The following is a 19949-nucleotide window of genomic DNA, read 5'->3' as shown; positions in this document are numbered from 1 at the left end:
TTGTGCCAGCAGTGAAGTTGTCACATGGACAGGCTCAGGACCTCTGGTTAGCTAGGATGTTGCAGGCAGTGGAATTAGCTGCTGTTTTCTCCTTCCTGGAAGCAGAGTTGTTTTGTTATGAGTTGCTGCAATGGCCTGAGTTTGTTGGCCTCCTGCCAGGGGGAGGTTCTTTCAAGAGAGCACCAGCTGAGGTTGTAGTAGGGGGATCTAAGCTTGCCCCAGAATCTCAGGTGATGGAGGGGGCCATAGAGCTCCCAAGAGTTTATGTCTTTTGTATTGAGCTACCAGGGCTGGTAGAGAGGGTTAGGCAGGTCTGGGCTCAGACTTTCCTTGAGTGAGGCTTGCTGCAGCCACTGTGCAGTGGGGGAGGTGGTAAAAATTGAAATAAAATAAATTAAATAATAAAGTACACAGAATAGGATGGTAAGGTTTATTTTTGCTGATATTTGGTGTTACTTTTTAAAGTTTTTAAAGTGTTTAAAACAATATCTTTAAACACAGTGAAATGTACAATACAACCAAAAGTTAAAATTTTTGGAAGTCTAGGAGTATAGCAGAACGTTAGCTCTATTTGCCAAAATGCTACTTTTCCTGAATTTGGTGTAGGTTGAAGGATAAGATTCTAAAAGGATGTGTGCTTCAGGTAACTTAGTTTTTCTCTGTATTATTAATCAATAACGTATCTGTCTACATGAGACTAATAGATGTACTATTTTAAGTATACTTACAGATTATGTTTAAAAAATGTCTTTGACTCTTTATCTGACCTCAATCATTTACTTAAGTACAATGTGGACATAGAATAAGAATCTCAAATTACCACATTTGTGATATACAGCCTGAGGTTTATCACTATTCCCTGAGTTTCTTCAAAGTGTGTTTAAAATTTTCTGTATCCTGAAAGTGTGATGAGAATTAATTAGTCTTTCATGAAATGAACAGAAGCTTAATTGGAAATAAGGCCCATGATCTGTCCAAACAAAACGGCCGTGATTCATAATGTAGCTGTGCCTACATGTAAGGAATCTTCAAGAAATGAGGTGACAAATTAGAGAATCTTGCCAATTTCCTTACTTCTGCAACTCCTGCTAAACTCTGTTGCCCAATTTTCAAGATGTGTCTTTGCCTTGTCATCACTCCAATACTTTCTATTCATATATTTTATTCTCAGTCTTAATTTTAAACTTATTTTCCAACAGTCTTTTGTTACTAGTTGCCTTTCTTGCCTCATTTTGTAAAGCAAATCCAAGTATATAAGTGAAGTCAGAAAGTTAGTACTGATGCTTTCAGTCAAGGATGTAATAGTTTGGAGTTTAGCATAATTTAAACAAACTAAAGGTATAGCATTTGCCTGTTTCTATGAGGAAAGAGTTTCCTAAATACATATGAAGTACTTAAGCTAAATGTAACATAAACAAATTATAGGCTTTTTAATATATGAAAAATAATAGAATGTTTTAATTAATTCAGATTTAAAACTGTGCTTTATGTACTCTATTTTTATGTGTATGCCATTTTAAAATAATATACTTATTATAGGAGGTTTGAAGTACTCAAAGTTGAAAAGAGTTTGGTAGTAATTTGTCCAGTTCACCTTGTCTATTTGAAAGCATTAATCCTGCATTTTCAGAAGGTATTATACCCTTTTGGCTTTTTAAATTTCAAGTGAAAAGCACGAAATGCACTTCCAACTAAACAGAAGCAGTAGCAAATTATCAGTAGAGTTAACTGCGGACTTATACACACCGTATTATCTACAGAACTCTAGAGTAGGTGTAGATTAGTCAGTCATAATACACACACACACACACACACACGTGCATGCACACAGGCACACACACACTTATTAAGTTTTCCATTTCCTAGCTTTAGATTTTGGAAACAGTATGACATATGTATTTTTTAACTTTCCGTGTTCTTTTTTCTCACCAAACTGTTTCCTTTCTTTTGCAATATAGTTAATGTTTATTTCTATTTTTTTCTCCACCAATTAGACTTGTTTGTAAGAGTCCATTCACCATACATGCTATAATATACTAAGAATCATCTACATGGTTTCCTTTATCTGGAGTCACTTTAATCTCCAAGTTATACAATTTGTGCTGAGCTTCATCTTCCCATATGCCATTAACCACTGACAAGAAAAAGCCTGGAATTTAGTCTTGCATTCAATACCTTCTAATTCTCTGACATTTTGCAATTGTCGTGAGAAACATAGTAGAGTTGGTTCCAATCTACTTTATTTGCTAACTGTATATTTTCTTGCAGACGAGTTACTTAAAGATTCTGAACTTGCATCCTCATGTGAAAGATAATATATTATGACTTATTTTCCTAATAATAATTAATACATCATACATTAATAGATTAATACATAGGTAAACTGTGAAGTGCTACATATACATCACATATTATTTATTTTTACCTTTACACAAAAGCCTTCCATGTAACCTCAATTAGGTACACATCACACATACCCTCATTGAATATCTTTACCCAATACTGGACTTGTGCAACTTCAACAGACCCTTTAGAGCCTAGCTCAAGCCTGATCCTCTTCCCACTTTGGCTACTTCCTTGTGTCACCAACTTAATCCCCTTTATTTTTGTCATTCATGTGTAATAAATTATTTACTCTTCTGACATGAAGATAGTATATTTATTTCACACATATTTGACTTTCCCCTGTCTGGCACAGAGCTCTCCATAGATTAGCTGTTCAAAAATATTTATTATTCATGTATTTATGACTCTCCTAAAACCTAAACTTTGCATTCTTAATTTTCACAAAACTCTAGAACATTACAAAGATTGATTTAAATAGAGATTGATTTTGGGTGATTGATTTTCCTTCATGAGCTCTATGACTATAGTCCTATTTGGGTAGACCAAGCTGTAGTCTATCTCATATGTAAAGAGGAAGAATATCTCCTTTACCAATGTGTAGATTGCTGAGTGATTCATCTGTTACATGCAAAATCCACAATGGGGCTGACCTTTTCTTGTTGTTTATCTCACAAGGACAGGCAATCTTTAGGCATAGCAATTTACTCTACAAGCCACGGTTATTCTCTTTATTAAGACTAGGACAGAGGCCAAGTCCAGTGGCTCATGCTTGTAATCCCAACACTTCCAGAGGCCAAAACAGATGGATCTTGAGGCCAGAAGTTCGAGACCATCTTGGGCAACATAGGCTCTATATCGACAAAAAAAAAAAAAAAGTAAAAAGAAAAAGAGAAGAAAGCCAAGTGTGGTGGTGCACACCTGTAGTCCTAGCTGCTTAGGAGGCTGAGACATGTCTCAGGAGGATCTCAGAGGCACTGGAGTTAAAGGTTGCAATAGTTTGGTTTTGCAGAGCACTTTTTCTTTTTACCTGGAAATGAAGACAAAAGAGAGTAGGGTGACTTAAAGGAAAACCAATTTTGGTTCATAACAAGGAAAACCTTTAACAGTTACTGTCCTTCCAAATATGTAAGAAAAGAAGAGAGCCACCTAGGCTGAAGAGTTTCAGAAGAAGAAATAGGTGTCGTGCACTGATAAATTTTGGAAATGTAGGTGTTCTCTTATGTAATACGAAATTCGTGCTCAAAGAAATGCTTTTGACTTTGTGGAAATATGCATTAACCTAAATTAATTATATATGAAACATTTTTTACTTTCTAAGAAATTTTATTAATAATCCATGGAACAAGATTCTCCTAAAATATATTTTCAAACCTTTCTTTGAGAAAATCACCCTCCTATTAGCAGGGGATGGATCAGCATATTAGTAAATATATTACTTGAAAATAAACATTATCAACACATGCATATGTGTGCATATGTGCATATAACTAATATGTTATATATATGTATAGAACATATTAGTTTTTAAAATTAAGACCTCTGTGGAAAGGATCTATATCTTGATTGTGGTGGAGTTTGCATGGTTCTATACATTTGTCAAAATTGAACTACACCCTTAAAATGAGATTATCTTATAAATATATTACCTTTCAATAAAGTTCATTAAAATAATCCAAGCCTCTAATTTCTTGCAAATTAGACCTAAGCCAATACTATTCTAATATGAAGCAATGTGCAAATACAAATACACAATTGGTTCCGTCATTACCCTGGAGGAATTTCACCGGATGCTATTTGAAGTTGGTGATAATGTTGATATCAATATTAGCAGATATCAGGAAACAGAGCAGGCATTTTTATAAGCACTCTGCACACATCTCACCCAATGATGTGGCTATTCTTCTCCTTCACATTTTACACTTCAGAAAGATGCAACTAAGAGAGTTTAAATTGTTTGATATAAGTCAAACAATTATCTGAGTGGTGAGCTAGGATTCATGGTGGAACAATTTGAATTTACATTCTGTGATTCTAAAACACTGGTTATATTACTTCCATACACTTATAACTTACAAGTAAATTATATTTTTAGGCATTTAAATTACCCTAAACAATTTGGTAATCACATATTTTCAAAAAGGTATGCTGTAAATCTTTGTCTTTTCTCATATAGTGTTAGTTTTCTTAATTCAAAGCCATATGTATATACACTCTTAGTATTTTAAAAATAGGCACTTTATGTACACATCCATGGAAAACGTGTTCATATGGTATTCAAAGGTGTTGTGCTTTTTCTTGTTGGATTAACTATTTTTAATACTGAGAGAACATACAAATACAGTTATATCACATTCTTCACTAAAATCAATTATCTTATTGATAATATGTCAAAAGGTGTGGTTTTAAGGGTTAGTGTGGTTTAGGGGTTAGTGTGTTTGCTAATAACGTTATATCCTAAAATAGGGGACTTTCTTGTTGAGAGGATTCTTAAAGACCAAAAATTCAAGGTATTGAGAAATAATTGATCATTTGAACTTCATTAAAATTGAAAATTTCTACTCTGTGAAAGACACTATCAAGAGAAAAATAAGACAAGCCACACACTGGAAGAAAATATTTGTGAAAGACATATCTGATAAAATACTGTTATTCAAAACATACAATAAAAGTAAACAAAACAAAAGGCCAGGTGCAGTGGCTCATACCTGTAATCCCAGCAGTTTGGGAGGCCAAAGCGGGCAGATCCCTTGTGCTCAGGAGTTCAAGATCAGCCTGGGCCACATGGTAAAATCCTGTCTCTACCAAAAAAAATATTTAAAAAATTAGCCAGGCGTTGTGGTACACTTCTGTTGTCCCAGCTACTCAGGAGGCTGAGTTGGGAGGATTACTTGAGCCTGGGAGGCGGAGGTTGCAGTGAGCCAAGATAGCACCACTGTACTCCAGTCTGGGTGACAGAGCAAGACACTATCTCAAAAAACAAAAGCAAGCAAAAAAAAAATTCTTAAACTCAACAATGAGAAAAAAGACTTAACAAATACCTCACCAAAGATGATTATGAGATGATAAATAAGCCAGTAAAGATGTTTCACATCATATGCCAACAAGGACATGTAAATTTAAAACACTGCTTACCATTGCATGCCCACTAGAATGGCCAAAACCTAGAACACTGGCAACACCAGCTGCTAGCAAGGATGTTGAGCAACAGGAAATCTTACCCATTACTAGCAGAAAGACAAATGCTGTAACAACTTTGAAAGACAATTTGACAGTTTCTTGCAATAATAAGCATTGTCTTACCATATAATTGAACAACCACACTATTTATTATTTACCCAGATGTGTTTAAAACTTATCTCCACATAAAAACCTGCAAACGGATATTTATTCCAGCTTTATTCATAATTGCCACAATTTGGAAGAAATCAAGATGTCCTTCTATAAGTAAATGGATAAATAAACCGTGGTACATCCAGACAATGGAATGTTTTTCAGTGCTGAAAAGACATTAGCTATCAAGACATGAAAAGAAAAACCCATGGAGGAAACTTAAATTTATATGAATTACTAAGTGAAAGATGTATGTAGCCAATTTTAAAAGGCTGTATACTCTATGTTTATGCCTATATGACATTCCAAGAAAGGCAGAACTATGGAGATAACAAACAGATCAGCAGTTTCTAGGGGTTCGGAAGGGGGAGGGATGAATAGATGAAGCACAAAGGATTTTTAGGGCAGTGAAACTATTCTGTATGATACTATGATGTTTGATATGTGTCATATACATTTGTTCAAACCCATAAAATGCACAACACCAAGAGTAAACCTTAATGTAAACTATGGACTTTGGATGATAATGGTGTGTCAATGCAGGTTGATCAGTTGTAACAAATGCATCATTCTGGTGGGGGTTGCCAATGGGAGAGGCTCTGCAAGGGCAGGGAGTGGAATAGTGTCAGGGAATGGAATAGTGTCAGGGAAGGAAGTGAATGAGAAATCTCTTTACCTTCCACTCAATTTTTCTCTAAACCTAAAGCTACTGTAAAAGGTAAAATCTATTAAAAGCAAACCAAAACTTCAAAGTACTGAAATGATAAGTGTACAATAGCTAATAATGCAATTCCCATTTCTGATTCATAATTTCTGATTTCTGGGTACTACCTTAAAAATCATATTATGTTTTTAGCCACTTACTACATAAATTCACAGAACTAGTCCTAGATCATGAAAATTTATTTGAGGAATATTAATCGTAATACCTTACAGATATTTGAAATAATATCTGCCTGTTGAATAATATAACTTGGGGGAATTCAATCAATTATAATAAGTGTTTCTACTTTCAGGTTTAATTTCTTATAATTATTGCATTCTTTTTAAGGTGAAAATGTGCATGTTTGATTAGGCTGTTTATTTTATCAATAGCTGCCTGCTACAAATAAGCTATATATGGCTATTAATAAATGACAATTAAAATGTAATTAGCCACAGATACAAAAATCTCATTTTCAATTAATGTACTATGAAATATCATTTAACAAATATAATCCTTCTAAATTTTTAAGTAATAAGCAAGTTCTAAATAGCCTTGAGATTCATACATGTTTTTATTTACATCAAGAGCTAAGACACAACTGCTTATACACATTTAAGAAATCAGAGGTCTAGGGTTTTTTCCAAACAGGACTCTATGTCTAGGACACTCAGTAATCAATTAGAGAGAAGAGGAATCTGAGAAACTCCTTAGGCAAGCAGAAACCAAGAAGATAGGGCAACTGTTATATCAAAAGCCAGCCAAGCAGAAATGACCAGTACACAATATACTTATACATTTTCTCTGGAGGAACAAATCATTTATACTTCACTGAGGAATGTGATCATAAGCCAAAACATTGAATGGATAACTCTGTAAAAGAGCTTTTGGACAAACTAATAACTGCATAGTATGGATTAAAGAGTAAAAATATTAATCTAGGTTTATAATGTAGTTATATAATATCAGTGATGAGTGATATACTAGGGTAAGGAGAGTTACAAGAACATTAACCCCAAAACAAAGAAGTGAGGCAATAAATATGAAACTACAGTAACCAAGTATATTCTTTGAGGCAAGTTTCTAGCTCAGATCAAAGTTGCTTACAGAAAAATTTAGAGAGAGGAAATAATCTCCAAATATCTCAAGTAAAGTCAGGTGATTATAGCTGTCTGGCAAGAGGATTAGACAGCTTTGCTAGGGGAAACTTAGCAATTAACTCTGCTTTGGTAAGTCATACAATAAGGACAGCTCAACTCAAATAGACAAAATAGCTATGTCCAGTTAACCTACAGCAATAATTTAGTAACCTTTTTTTCAATTTGTTATTCTGAGTGTCACAAAAATAACTGTTAGAACTTCATTGAGGTGGACAAATTACTTTTTATATAGTACTAGGTTTGTTTATCTATTTTTGACTGAATAGTAAAACTATTGTTAAAAGATTAAGTCTTTCCACTTCCCAACTCGCAAATCTAAAATTTGTCAAGTACTGCCAAGTCTATTGTCTATTCCTACCAGAGTTATCTTCTAAATTATTTAGATCATTGTATAATCTATTATTAAAATCTCAGTGGCTCCTCATTACCTGCATTACTTGCCCCAGTTTATTTTTTAAGTTCCCCATCACATTACATTCTGGCAAACCCCAACATCCAGCCAAACAACTACTCTCCTTATAATAGCCTAAATATGTCATTATATCATGGGAATAGATCTATATCTATCTATCTATCTATCATCTATCTACCTATCTATGATAAAATTGATATATAAATAAATATACCATGAAATTTATGTATATACATACCATCTTACTTTGAAAATTTGGTTATATGGTTATCTCTAAATAGTATTGTTTTATTTTCCACTTATTGGATATTATCTCATATCTCAAAATGCCACTTCTTCCATATAAGCTTGATCAATTCTCCCTGGCAAAATTAATTAACCAGTCACCTGCATATATTTTTGTAGCTTTGTGCTGTCATTTGTTATTATCTCTTAAGAAGTTCCCAAATATTATAAGCTTTGTTTTTTTACAAGGACACTAGCTTATGTTTCTCTGCCATATTCAGAATAGACCACTTGGTAATTTTTAAAATCTGTTTGTGAATTCACATAATTAAAGTGGCCTCAAGGTGTTTATGCACCTGGGTGAAGAGCAAGTTTTTTGTTTTTTTCTGCTATATCACCAAAGCAGCATAGTGCTTGACTCATTATAAATTGTTTGTAAATATTTGTTTAATGAATGATTAATTTCAGTTTTCTAAATGTGATGAGAGTGTTCCAACTAAATTGGTGGGAAATCAAAGCAAAAATCACTTATCTGGCATCCTCTAAAAAATAGAGAAAACCAGGAATCATTTATGATTAATATCTAACTTGAAAATGAGTTTTCAAAATTAATAAATACCACATTTGTTTGAAATGTGTATCATGAAATATATCTATACAATTCATATTCATTTTAGTTATGTAATAATTTTGTTTCATTATTTCAAAAAATGACATTTCAAATCTATTTGAACTGCAATGTTTCACAAAATAATTGTTTCTCAGCATAGCTAACCATTACAAAATAATATTTTTTTAATCTCCCCAGATAACACATTGTCTGTCACTGGCTGGTTGTAATGCAAGGAAGGGACAAAGATGAAATGGAAACATGTTCCTTTTTTGGTCATGATATCACTCCTCAGCTTATCCCCAAATCACCTGTTTCTGGCCCAGCTTATTCCAGGTAAGTGCTGTGCATTTGTTTCATCAATACTTAACCAGTATTCCCTCTTTGCTTTAAATTCACTTTTTATTGTGTGTGTTGCAAATCAAGTTTGTTCATTTTCTTTGGAACTTGTAAGTCTGTGTGAATGTCTTCTTGAGTATGAGTGCTGATCAATTTCAGGGGTCAAATTATTATTCTTGAATAGAGAGCACTTTATTAATTCCCAAGAGAATCAGAACATTGAGAAAAAGTCACTGTGCTGAAACATGTAAGGAGTGTTATATTAACTAAGTGAATTAGAGTGGCAGAAGAAAAATTACAGTAGGGAAAAGGTGTGTAACACACAAAGGAAACCTAAGCCACAGTGCATGTCGGTACCATAGAAAAGGAACATCAGAAAAGTGAAACATTGAAAACTGACATTTCTTAGCGTAGTAACATGTTAATTAACAGGCTGAACAATGTAAGAATAAAAAAGCAACATGCTGCTGTGTTGCTACCATAGTTACCACTGTTTTGGGTGAAGTTAGAAACCTATTTCCTTGAAGTCATAATTTCATTAATGGTATAGAATAGCATTTCTTTAAAATGCTTTACTTATACTGTTTTAATAGGAATTAATTAGGTCCAATGTATGGTAGCAGAAAATACAAAAATATATTGATGTACTAATGAAAATATAATTTTAAGTTTCCTCTTAGGTAAGACAGAAACAATTGAAGTTAATTTGAATACAACTAATATGTCAAAATTTAGCCAAGTTATTCATAAAAGAATAACATACCATGTTTTGTTAGACCATACTATGAAACTTTGTCTGTATTTATGTTATGGTTATATTTATTTTGATATTCAGCAACTATATGTAACTTGTCATGTTCATCCACACAAAATCAAAGATTTCAAAAAATCCTGGGGCTTCAATTTTTCCCTGTGCTGGGTTAAGATTGACATTTTGACCTAGAAGATAAGGGAGTTGTAAACAAAAACAAATGATTTATATATCTGTTAAAAACATTTTCACATGATTGAAGAATACAGAAACTTTAAGTCTGTTGTAATAAAATACATTTAATGATTTGTATCAAATTAGGTTAGCCCACTAAAATTACTACGTATTCTTATTTTAGCCTGTTCCTATATTCCCTTCTCTTGCCACAACTCTGTTGAGTATTAAGATTAGTGTATGAATCAAAGAAAACATCATACATTTCTTAAATATATAGAAAATGCAAATATAGGTACAAATTAATTCACTGTTTTGTAAATTGTCAGAATAAAGAGGATACTTATATGAAAGTGTTTTTAAAACTACAACTATAGATAGACACAGATACAGATACAGCCTAGGTATAATTCCCATTAAACTGTATGGCCAGCTAATAACTCCTACAGGTCAACAAATTTAGTCCATGATACAGTTATTGAGCAGGATATCAAAATTCAAAATTGTTAAGTGAGGTTTGAACCACCTGTGTCTGTCTAGTGGAAGAAGGAATGCATGTATGAATATATATGGTGGGAAGGTACAAGGTTTATCTAGGGAATAAAAAATGTTACCTTTTTATTCAAAAGGATATTGCATAATTTTAGAGAAGAAAAATCAACTTGAACGCTTAGGTGCAAAAGCTGTCAAACCTCTGTCATTACTATTTTACATGCAAATACTTGTAAATCTACAGTATACGACTTCATTGTCTAATTTAATATGTACATTGGTTACAAAGGTGATAGTTTGGTTATCAGTTAGTTAAAAAATTCACCGCACAAATTGATTACTCAGGGCCCATTTTGAGGCAACACTGTCTTAAAAAGAAATAAGGGTAACCTCAAATGGGATGCATACAGTTAGATGCCTTTTTTTTCAGGACTACAGAGTTCAAGAAACATTTCAAAGTAATTTACCTGTCAAAAGAAATATGCTGTTAGCTTTTCAAAAAGAACACCTGCAGAGTGGAAGTCATTTTCATAACTGCCTCCATCTAGGAGCACTGGCTTCAGGCTAGGGAGAAAATCTACTGAAGGAACTCATTGGCCTTAGAGTGTCCCCTCCTTTCATTAATCTCAGAATGATGAGAAGTCTTGATTCTTCTAATTGTTTTTCTAGCTTTAGTATGTTCATTAGAGACCTTGGATCTGGATTGAATTGAGCATATCTCAGAGGAAGCAAAAACTGGATTAGCTTTGAAGGCAAAATATTAGTGTCTTTTAAAAAAAACATAATTTCTTATTCAACTGATTTTTTCCACTCTTTCTCTTAAGAAAAAAAATCTCCTTCATCAGAAATGTATTTCTAATAATAAACAATCAGATAAGGAAATCAGACAAATGAAAAAAATGTAACATGCTTCTAAAAAAATAAGGAGAATTTTATATTCTGTAGTACTTGACTCAGTGAGTTATCATCAGCCAAGGTGTCTACAGGAACAAGACTTCTCAGGGTACAAAAGAAAAGAGCAATTAAAACATTGGCTCAATGCCAGTTATTTTATTACCACAACAATAAAGTGTTTTCACTTCAAGCTGTGGCTAGGTTACTGGGTGTAAGTAAATATTAAAATATTTGAATGTAATGTCTGGAACTGATGGATTGCCCAGCTCAATTTTTTTTTTCATTTTTCATTTTGTCTCCCTGTATAATACATTTTTAAAACTGCTATTATGTTTCATAATATTGCAAATGAAATGGTTGGTATATGAGAAGGCAAACAAATTACTTGTATTTAGTAAATCAAGGAATACTCTTATTGTTGAAAATAAACTGTTTTAGAGAAAAGAAATAATTAAGAAATGGATTCTAAGAATAACTGGGCTTTGCCAGCCATTGAATTGTTGCTTTCATTGCATGTTGAGCCCATTAAAGCCCACCTCTTTTTTATGAAAACCACTGGTAGATGTTTTTCATGTTAATTTACCTCATCTCTAATTGACAAATGAAATATATTCTTAAACCATGTGAGGTTATCTCTTGAGGCATGCTGTATCTGGACTATGCCACGTCTTGACTTAATTTCTGCTAGGAAAGGAATCTGACAGATACTAATCTTTACATTTTAAGCATCTACCTTTTATTGCCACGGATGTAAGGAAGACAATGAAAAGCAAATGTAAAATGATCTGTTATTAAAGCATATATTTCACATATAGTGGAATTTAATTAAAAAATTAAAAAACCTCTATGGTAAAAAAAAATAAAATTGAGTTCTAGGTTTATATTGCAATATTTTAAATGAAAATACATGAAGAAAAACCCACAAGGTTGTATTTCTATTTGAATAAATCAGACAGAACACTTTAAAGTTAAGCATGATTTATCTTTTCCTCTCCATACTCTAAATGTGCAGCAGTGTTGTCCTTCATTAAAGATGCAAGTGCTGACTGGGTTATTTCCTTGTCCCTGACTCATGTCAACAAGCCTGGAGTGTGAAATTTTCTGAAATGATTTACTGCTTATCTGCCCCACCCATCCATTGACCACCACTTCAGTATCTTGCTGTTATACCCCACAAAAGATAACTGAAAAGAGCTGTTAACTGGGTCTGAATCATCCATAAATAGATTATAAATTGTGAAAAGAATTCCTTATGCAAAATTTTAGAAATTACAATGAATATACATACAACCCCCATGTATTTCTAAGTTTTGTTTTTGTTTTTGCTTTCATATGCTCAATACATTTTGAATAGACTTGAGGATTTATTTCAGATTTTAAAAAATCTCCTTTGACATGTGAAAACAAATTGAAAGTAAATGAATTCCAGAAATCTAAATGTGACAGAATATTTGGGAATTTCTTTCGGGATACTTTATTTAACAAGTAATGTTGCATGCGTGCTTCTTACAAAGTTTATGATCCACAGGTATTTTTTTTCCAATATTTGTGATTAGTTTCTATGGCGAAGAATCATATATTAGGAAAATATATGTCATTTAAAACCTGTAGAGATTGCTTGTTCATAGGCAACAGTTCAATTTTTTAACTGCACTGACTATTTAGAAAGTAGTCAATTATTTTGAAAAACATTCAGAAGCACCTGAGATGCTTCTTAAAAGTAAAGATTCCCAGGGCCCATGGCAGAATCACTGAAATAAAGAGTTTGCGCTGCTCTACAGATATCTACAAATTATCTAACAGGCAGAAAATTTGAGAACCTCTGCTTTAGACATTTGAGTTGATTTTATTTTAATGTTGAGTACACTTAAAGAATGTTTATTCTCTGAGGACAGATTTCCATGACAAAGGGAAAAAGTTATTTGGAGATACTTGTTTTCTATGTTGCAAGGATTTGGAGGAGCAGATTTGATGCCACTACTGGTTTATTTCGCTTTGGTTTTGCTTATGTTTCTTGTTATTTTCATCTCATAATAAATATTTCTAGATTGAAAAACATAATATATCCTGTTGGATGAAAGGCATTAGCTCAATACACAAAGCCACTGAACTAATAAGCAGATCAGTGGGTTTTAAATTATATTATTGAAAGTGACTTTACAAAATTCAAAGTTAAGTTTGCCTAGTGGGTACAATTCCCCCTAAATTTTGTCAAAGCGTTAGTAAAATCTTAATTCAGATATTAAGTAGCTGGACTTTTATAATAAACTAGAATAATATGTTAATTATGCAAATATTCTATAAAAAGAAACTAATAACCATGGCTGTATTATGACTTACAGAAACCTTAGACAATTTTGCCTTTATGGGCCCCTTTTTCCATAAAATTATCTTAAAAGTATGTTGATATCAACATGACTTATGCCCAAATGTGATGCTAAAAACAATAGTCACTACAAATAAAATGTAACAAAAACTTACCTTTACACATTATATAAATCTCATAGAAGAAAATCATAATATAAGATAAATCAAATATTCTCTGAGTGTTACTTTTTATAGTATAATTTTAGCAACAATAATAATGGACTTAACCAGATCAAAAAGCTGTCAGGTGGGTGTTCTCTTGCTGATGACTCACTTGATAGTGACTTGCTGTGTTTCCTATACCCCATCATTCTGCAAAGTTAAATGAGCTAGTGCCAGGTGTGGGTTAATGGATCCCATGAAAGAGATCTTCTGCTTGTGGTGCTTAGTGAAGGTTGCAGAGGGCTCATCTCTAATCACATTCCCCACATCCCTAATCACATTGCATGTGTATGTGAGTGTGTGTATGTGTGTACGTGTATGTGTGTGTGTGTGTATGAACATACACACACACACACACACACACACACACTCACCCACCTACAAATCATGGAGGTCTCTTGTTACATACTTAGGACATTTATCTACTGTTAGACTCCTGTGATTTGATGAATTTATTTATTTTCCTCCCACTCTGCTCATTGATTTAGTAATCAAGCATAGTGTCAATCATTTTTTAAATACCTGAGCAAGCACTTTCTTCCTTGGTTTGTTATTTTGTTTGTTTTAAGAAAATAAAACTCTCCCCAAAGGTGAGAAATGGAAGTCAGTTACTTAGTTCCTATTTATTTGTGTTCTGCACAAAACTGCTCAACAGTACTTTAGGGATCTGTCCAGGTAACAGCATATATATATATGTAGTAATATATATATATATATATATATATATTACATGTACCTATGTAACATATGCATGTATATCTATTAATATATGCATATATGATATATGTACACATATAGATAAAATAAGTTCATCTTGACTCAGACTCTATCTATCCATTCTTTCACCGATGTGAAATAATGATACAGACTGTATTTGTGTGAAGGCCAGGTTGAGAGCTTATTTGAATTAATTTCTAAATTGTTAGCAATAAATTGTTAAATATATGGGTTTGTAAAAAATGACAGAATGTTTTATCTTTTCAATTACTTTTTTCTTTGTTTTGGTTTGGGTTCTGTTATATTCAGCCTGAGTGAGGAAACACTATACCTTGGCAATATCTAGAGTCAATAGAAATGTTCTTCAGATAAGGTAATGCTCTGCTCCGAAAGGTGCATTCTTCTGTTTTAAATTTACATTTTATATGATGACCAGCTATGTGCACATGCAATTCACAGTTGTTAAAATTACTTGCATAGTTCATCGTTGTGATCATCATTTTGCTTAGAACAAGAGTACTCTCATACATCATTTGTATTTCCTATGCTAATGTGGATATCTTTAAAAAAAACACTAGTAGATTAATGATACCAAATGTCTCTTAATTTATGCTACATTTTGTTTAAATCAATATTACAATTATATTACAGCTTCTTGGATACTCAAGAAAGATTCAAGATCTTTTCCAAATGGGTACATTTATAGATGGTTTCTTTATGATCTCATCATTTTCTTCTTCCTTAGGAAGAAATATCTTTTTCAGATATTTCTCCAGAATTCATGAATAAATGGGCAGAGATTATATTTATCTGCTGTACTATAGTCCTTCATTAAAACTCAATTTCATGAAAAGAAAAATCATAATTTGTAGATAATATGAACTAAATATCCACCCTTAGACACATTTCCTCAAATTTAAGTATTCGAAGTTAATCATTATGGCATATGTAAGAGTCATTGTCCTCACATTCTTTTTCCCCTTGAGAATAGATATGATGTCAACAGAGTAGTTAATTCAAACTTAATAACTACATAATAAACTTAATGGCTTGTAACTAAAAACTTAATCACTAAGTTTAAAGAAAACTGTTCAGAATAGGAACACCATATTAATTAGAATGACCACTATCCATAAGTATTTTATAGAGGAGAAAACATACACGTTAGCAAGGATGAGGTCTTGTCTTAGATGTTAATAGGACTTTTTGCCAAATGTGCACTAGAACCCAGAGTAAAAACTTGAGGAGGGCATGAAAGACTTCACAGATCTTGTAAACAAGCAGATAATAAACCATTGAAACACTCATATTTATTAGGTGCCTAATAAATAGCTTGCTGTTTATTACACTATAGCTTTAGGAGTTTTACAAGGTTGAAAAGGGGTGAGTAGGAAAGAGAATCCCAGGCTCATGCCAAGGTGCAGTGCTAAGTGTATAAGATGAGAACTTATTTGGTTGGTAGAAAGTAAAGATATATATTGAAAAATGTTTGGAAATGTTCTCAGAAAGAGACAAAGTTCAAATCTGGAGGAGCCATATGTACTTGGCTGGGCAGCTTTATCTGTAAACTCTGGACAATAGGAAGGAATGAGAGAGTTTAAATGAGAGTAACCTAATAAGATTATATTTTAGAAGAGTGATTCAAGTAGAAAAGTGGTAAATTCAGTTTATCTATTCTCATTTATTAATTTAACAAATGTTTATTTAAAACTGACTGTTGCAAGTTTCTCTTGTAAATTTGGAGGAGACCGTGTCAATGAGATAGTCAATCTTGGTGTCCTCTTTTGTTTTCCTTCTCTGTGAATGAAAACTATTAAAAACCAAATTACACATCAAATTGTCTAATTACAATAAATTATTATTATAATAGAATATAGAAAAAAACTTCTGGAGTTATTCAGATAGGTTCTTGATCTCTAAAAGAGTAAGGGGGAGCTAAAAATTATTCACTGAATGTTTGTTGATGAATGAATATATAAGAAGAGGTTGCATAAAAATATATGGCAACATTTGAATAGGACCATAGAGATGAAAAAGGAATAACAGAATATAAATATCATAGATTATAAATTATATTAGATTCTAAATATTGTATAGAAAATATATGAGCATGATAGTTATAGGATTTCTTTTTGATTTTAAAACCTGTATTTGGTTTACATTTCTTGATTAACTTAAATTCATAATAAACTGAAAATGCCACTTAAACTTACCATACACAAATAGATATATATGTGTGCATATGTATATATTCTTTACTTTGTTCCTTGTATAGATATTAACACTAGTAGAATATTCTAGACAATTAACCAAGTTAAAAGTAACACTCAGAAGAATAATATTACAACCAAACTGGAATAAATGACTACAAACATATTTGTTGTATATATATGATTTGTTCTTTCAATGTAAATATATTGCTTAAGATTTGTACCCTGTATTTGTTTATTGAAACAGTAATTTTTTTAAAGTTCTTTCATTCTATATGTTTCTTGAGCTTTTACTTAAATATATACATATCTGTGTGTGTTTATATGTATAAATTTGTGTGTGGTATTACAAATGATTGGAAATTCTGTCAGTAGAAGTGGCAAGCCTTGAAAGAGAACGAATACTTAAGGGAAAAAATAGCATGTTAGTTGCTTTCTAGAGACTATCAATCAGTTGAAGATGAGATCTTAATAACTAGAGAAATTGCCAGCTGTACTTCGGTACTGTGTCTCTTTATTAGCCTTGGTCTTCTAATGTGAAGCTTTATTTAATTGTTTAAGTAGATGGAAGCAAACTAACAGACACATCAGCCTCAAGATACTCAATGAAGAAACTCGTATTTGTAATCTAGCTGTAGAGACCAGGATTATTCTACTTTGATGATATGGCCTTTGTGATTAAACTGGATAGAAAAACCCCACGTGCCACACGGTCCACCTAATTAAGCCATCAGAATGCATTGCAGCAAACAGAGTGCCTCATATGGACGGGTATAAGTAATTTTTTTCCTCTATTGCTTGGTTAATAGAAAGAGGCGCTAACCTAGATGATGACTGATGGAGGCTATATGGTACAGCTGTTGTAATTGTGCCTGAGGGTAGAGAAAGCCTTGGTAAAAAAAATAAAATAAATAAAACAAGACAAAAACAAAAACAAAACTATTTCCAGAGACACTGTCATTACTTCATTCAACTATTTTTTCTATATTTCCTAGTGAGCTTTCATTTATTCTGCTTTCTCTCATTGTTTGTGTTCTTCCTCTTGCCACGTGCATGTATCCTTTGTTATATAAACAAGCCTGTGCTCTGATTTCACGTGGAAGAATTGCTTTGGAAAACGTTTCCATTGCTGAATCAATAATTCATAAATAAAATGAGTATTCTTGACTATTAAAATGAGAAATGTATATAAAAACTTGAGAAGAAGTTGAATGTATGGGCCTTGAAAATATAAAAACGTATTGTAACTGGCCTTCTTCCCAAGAGAGTGTCCACTACAAATTTTGAAGGATGTGACCACATGTATATAGTGACACATACTTACGTAAATACATAGTCACAATATATGGGTGTGCGGATGTACATATATATAAAATATCAGTGAATATATTTAAATTCATTTATATATAAAACAGTATGTTTTCATTTTAAATTCCTTATATACATCTAGTTAATATACACAAGCTGATATAAAGTAACAAACTTTTATTCTCTTAAAAGGAGGATAAGATTTATGATTATTTTATTTATTTTATTTATTTATTTGTTTGTGTGTTTATTTATTTATTTATTGACACAGAGTCTCGCTCTGTTGCCCAGGCTGGAGTGCAATGGTGTGATCTCGGCTCACTGCAACCTTTGCCTCCTGGGCTCAAGGGTCCAAGTGATTCTCCTGCCTCCGCCTCCCGAATAGCTGAAATTACAGATGTGCACCACCATGCCTGGCTAATTTTTTTTTGTTTTTAGTAGAGAAAGGGTTTCACCACGTTTGTCAGGCTGGAGTCAAAATCCTGGCCTCATGTGATCTGCCAGCTTAGGCCTCTCAAAGTGCTGGGATTACAGGCATGAGCCACTGAGCCTGGCTGGGATAAGATTTATTATGACATGACATTTTTCCATCAGTGTTAATAGTCATTCTCTGAATTACCAGGTTAGTAGGGCGATGTATCTACACAAATGACTGAATTCCTTGTATATGAAAATAACTCTATAGAATATATAATTTATCATTTTTCCATCTAAATGGCCTTTCAACTTTATTTCAATGTTTTATCTTGTTTAAGTTCTTAGCTTGACATGCAACTCAAGCAGAGGCATACAAGCATAGCATCACTAATACAATGAACTGGAATGAGGAGCTAAGTCATCCCCTGTGCTGCTGCCCTTGTCCATGAGGTATCATTGCTCACTGGAGCCATAGGTTTTCCTCGTAACTTTGTGACTCTAATCACTTTTTTCCTATCTCTTTCACTGCACATTTTATTTCTTTTCTTGCCTTTTTCTTTTCTAATATGTTGAGAAATTCAGGCTTCTAGATAGTTACTGTAAAAAGTTGTGTTACTTTTCTTTAATAATTTAAAGAAAGCTGATTCCATGTTCTTTTAATAAACTGAATACAAGACAATGATTCTAAGATGCATCATTATGTATGGCCAAGAAAAGAATATAACTGCCAATTAACCCATGACACAGTAAGTTAAGGATACTTCCATGTAATACATTAGTCGGACCAATCTCTCATTGCTTTGAAGTTTCTTTCATCCTTTCCAAAAGACTTGGCAATTTCTCTTGCATCTAGTTTGGTAGATGACAAGCAACTCTTTTGAAATTTCTCAGGAAATAGACACTTTCTTCTACCTAAGGGTGTCTTCCTTTCTTAAGTAGCATAATTTCTGCTTCACAAGAACCTGTAAGTCTGTGACCATCCCTTGAACAATAAATATTTCCTTCACAAATGTCAAATCTAAGGCTGAAATTTTGTTTCTAAGCTTCAAATAACAATAACATTTACCGACAATTTTCAATTATACTGGAATTATAGAATACATTTTAAATGACAATTAAGCTCAACTTGTGTATTCCTAATAATGCACATAACTGAAATGACAATATGAACAGTTATGACCAAGTAATCACATCACAGTCAATGCCAGTCACATCAAAATTACTGCCTGGCCCATAGTGATTGCAAGATGCCATCTAATATAAGACTTCAGAGTCAAAATGTTTTTTAAGGAAGGGTCTTTGTATTGATAAAATACAATATATAGAGGGAAA

General features: G+C 32.7%; 1 protein-coding gene across 10 annotated transcripts in view; it reads left to right on the top strand.

Annotated features, from left to right (window-relative positions):
• The window catches only part of ROBO1 (roundabout guidance receptor 1), a 1170760-nt gene that overhangs the window by 169053 nt on the left and 981758 nt on the right, over window positions 1-19949 (top strand). For all 10 annotated transcript variants that reach the window (XM_017006982.2, XM_047448664.1, XM_047448661.1 and 7 more), the window contains exon 2: window positions 8985-9122. In XM_017006982.2, the coding sequence (XP_016862471.1) occupies window positions 9035-9122 (88 nt within the window). In that variant the 5' untranslated portion in view covers window positions 8985-9034. The remainder of the gene's footprint in view (window positions 1-8984; window positions 9123-19949) is intronic.

The sequence above is a fragment of the Homo sapiens genome, chromosome 3, assembly GCF_000001405.40.
Source record: "Homo sapiens chromosome 3, GRCh38.p14 Primary Assembly".
In the NCBI taxonomy this organism is placed as follows: domain Eukaryota; kingdom Metazoa; phylum Chordata; class Mammalia; order Primates; family Hominidae; genus Homo; species Homo sapiens.
The sequence above is the reverse complement of the archived record's forward strand: the minus strand, read 5'-3'. Positions and strand labels throughout refer to the sequence as shown.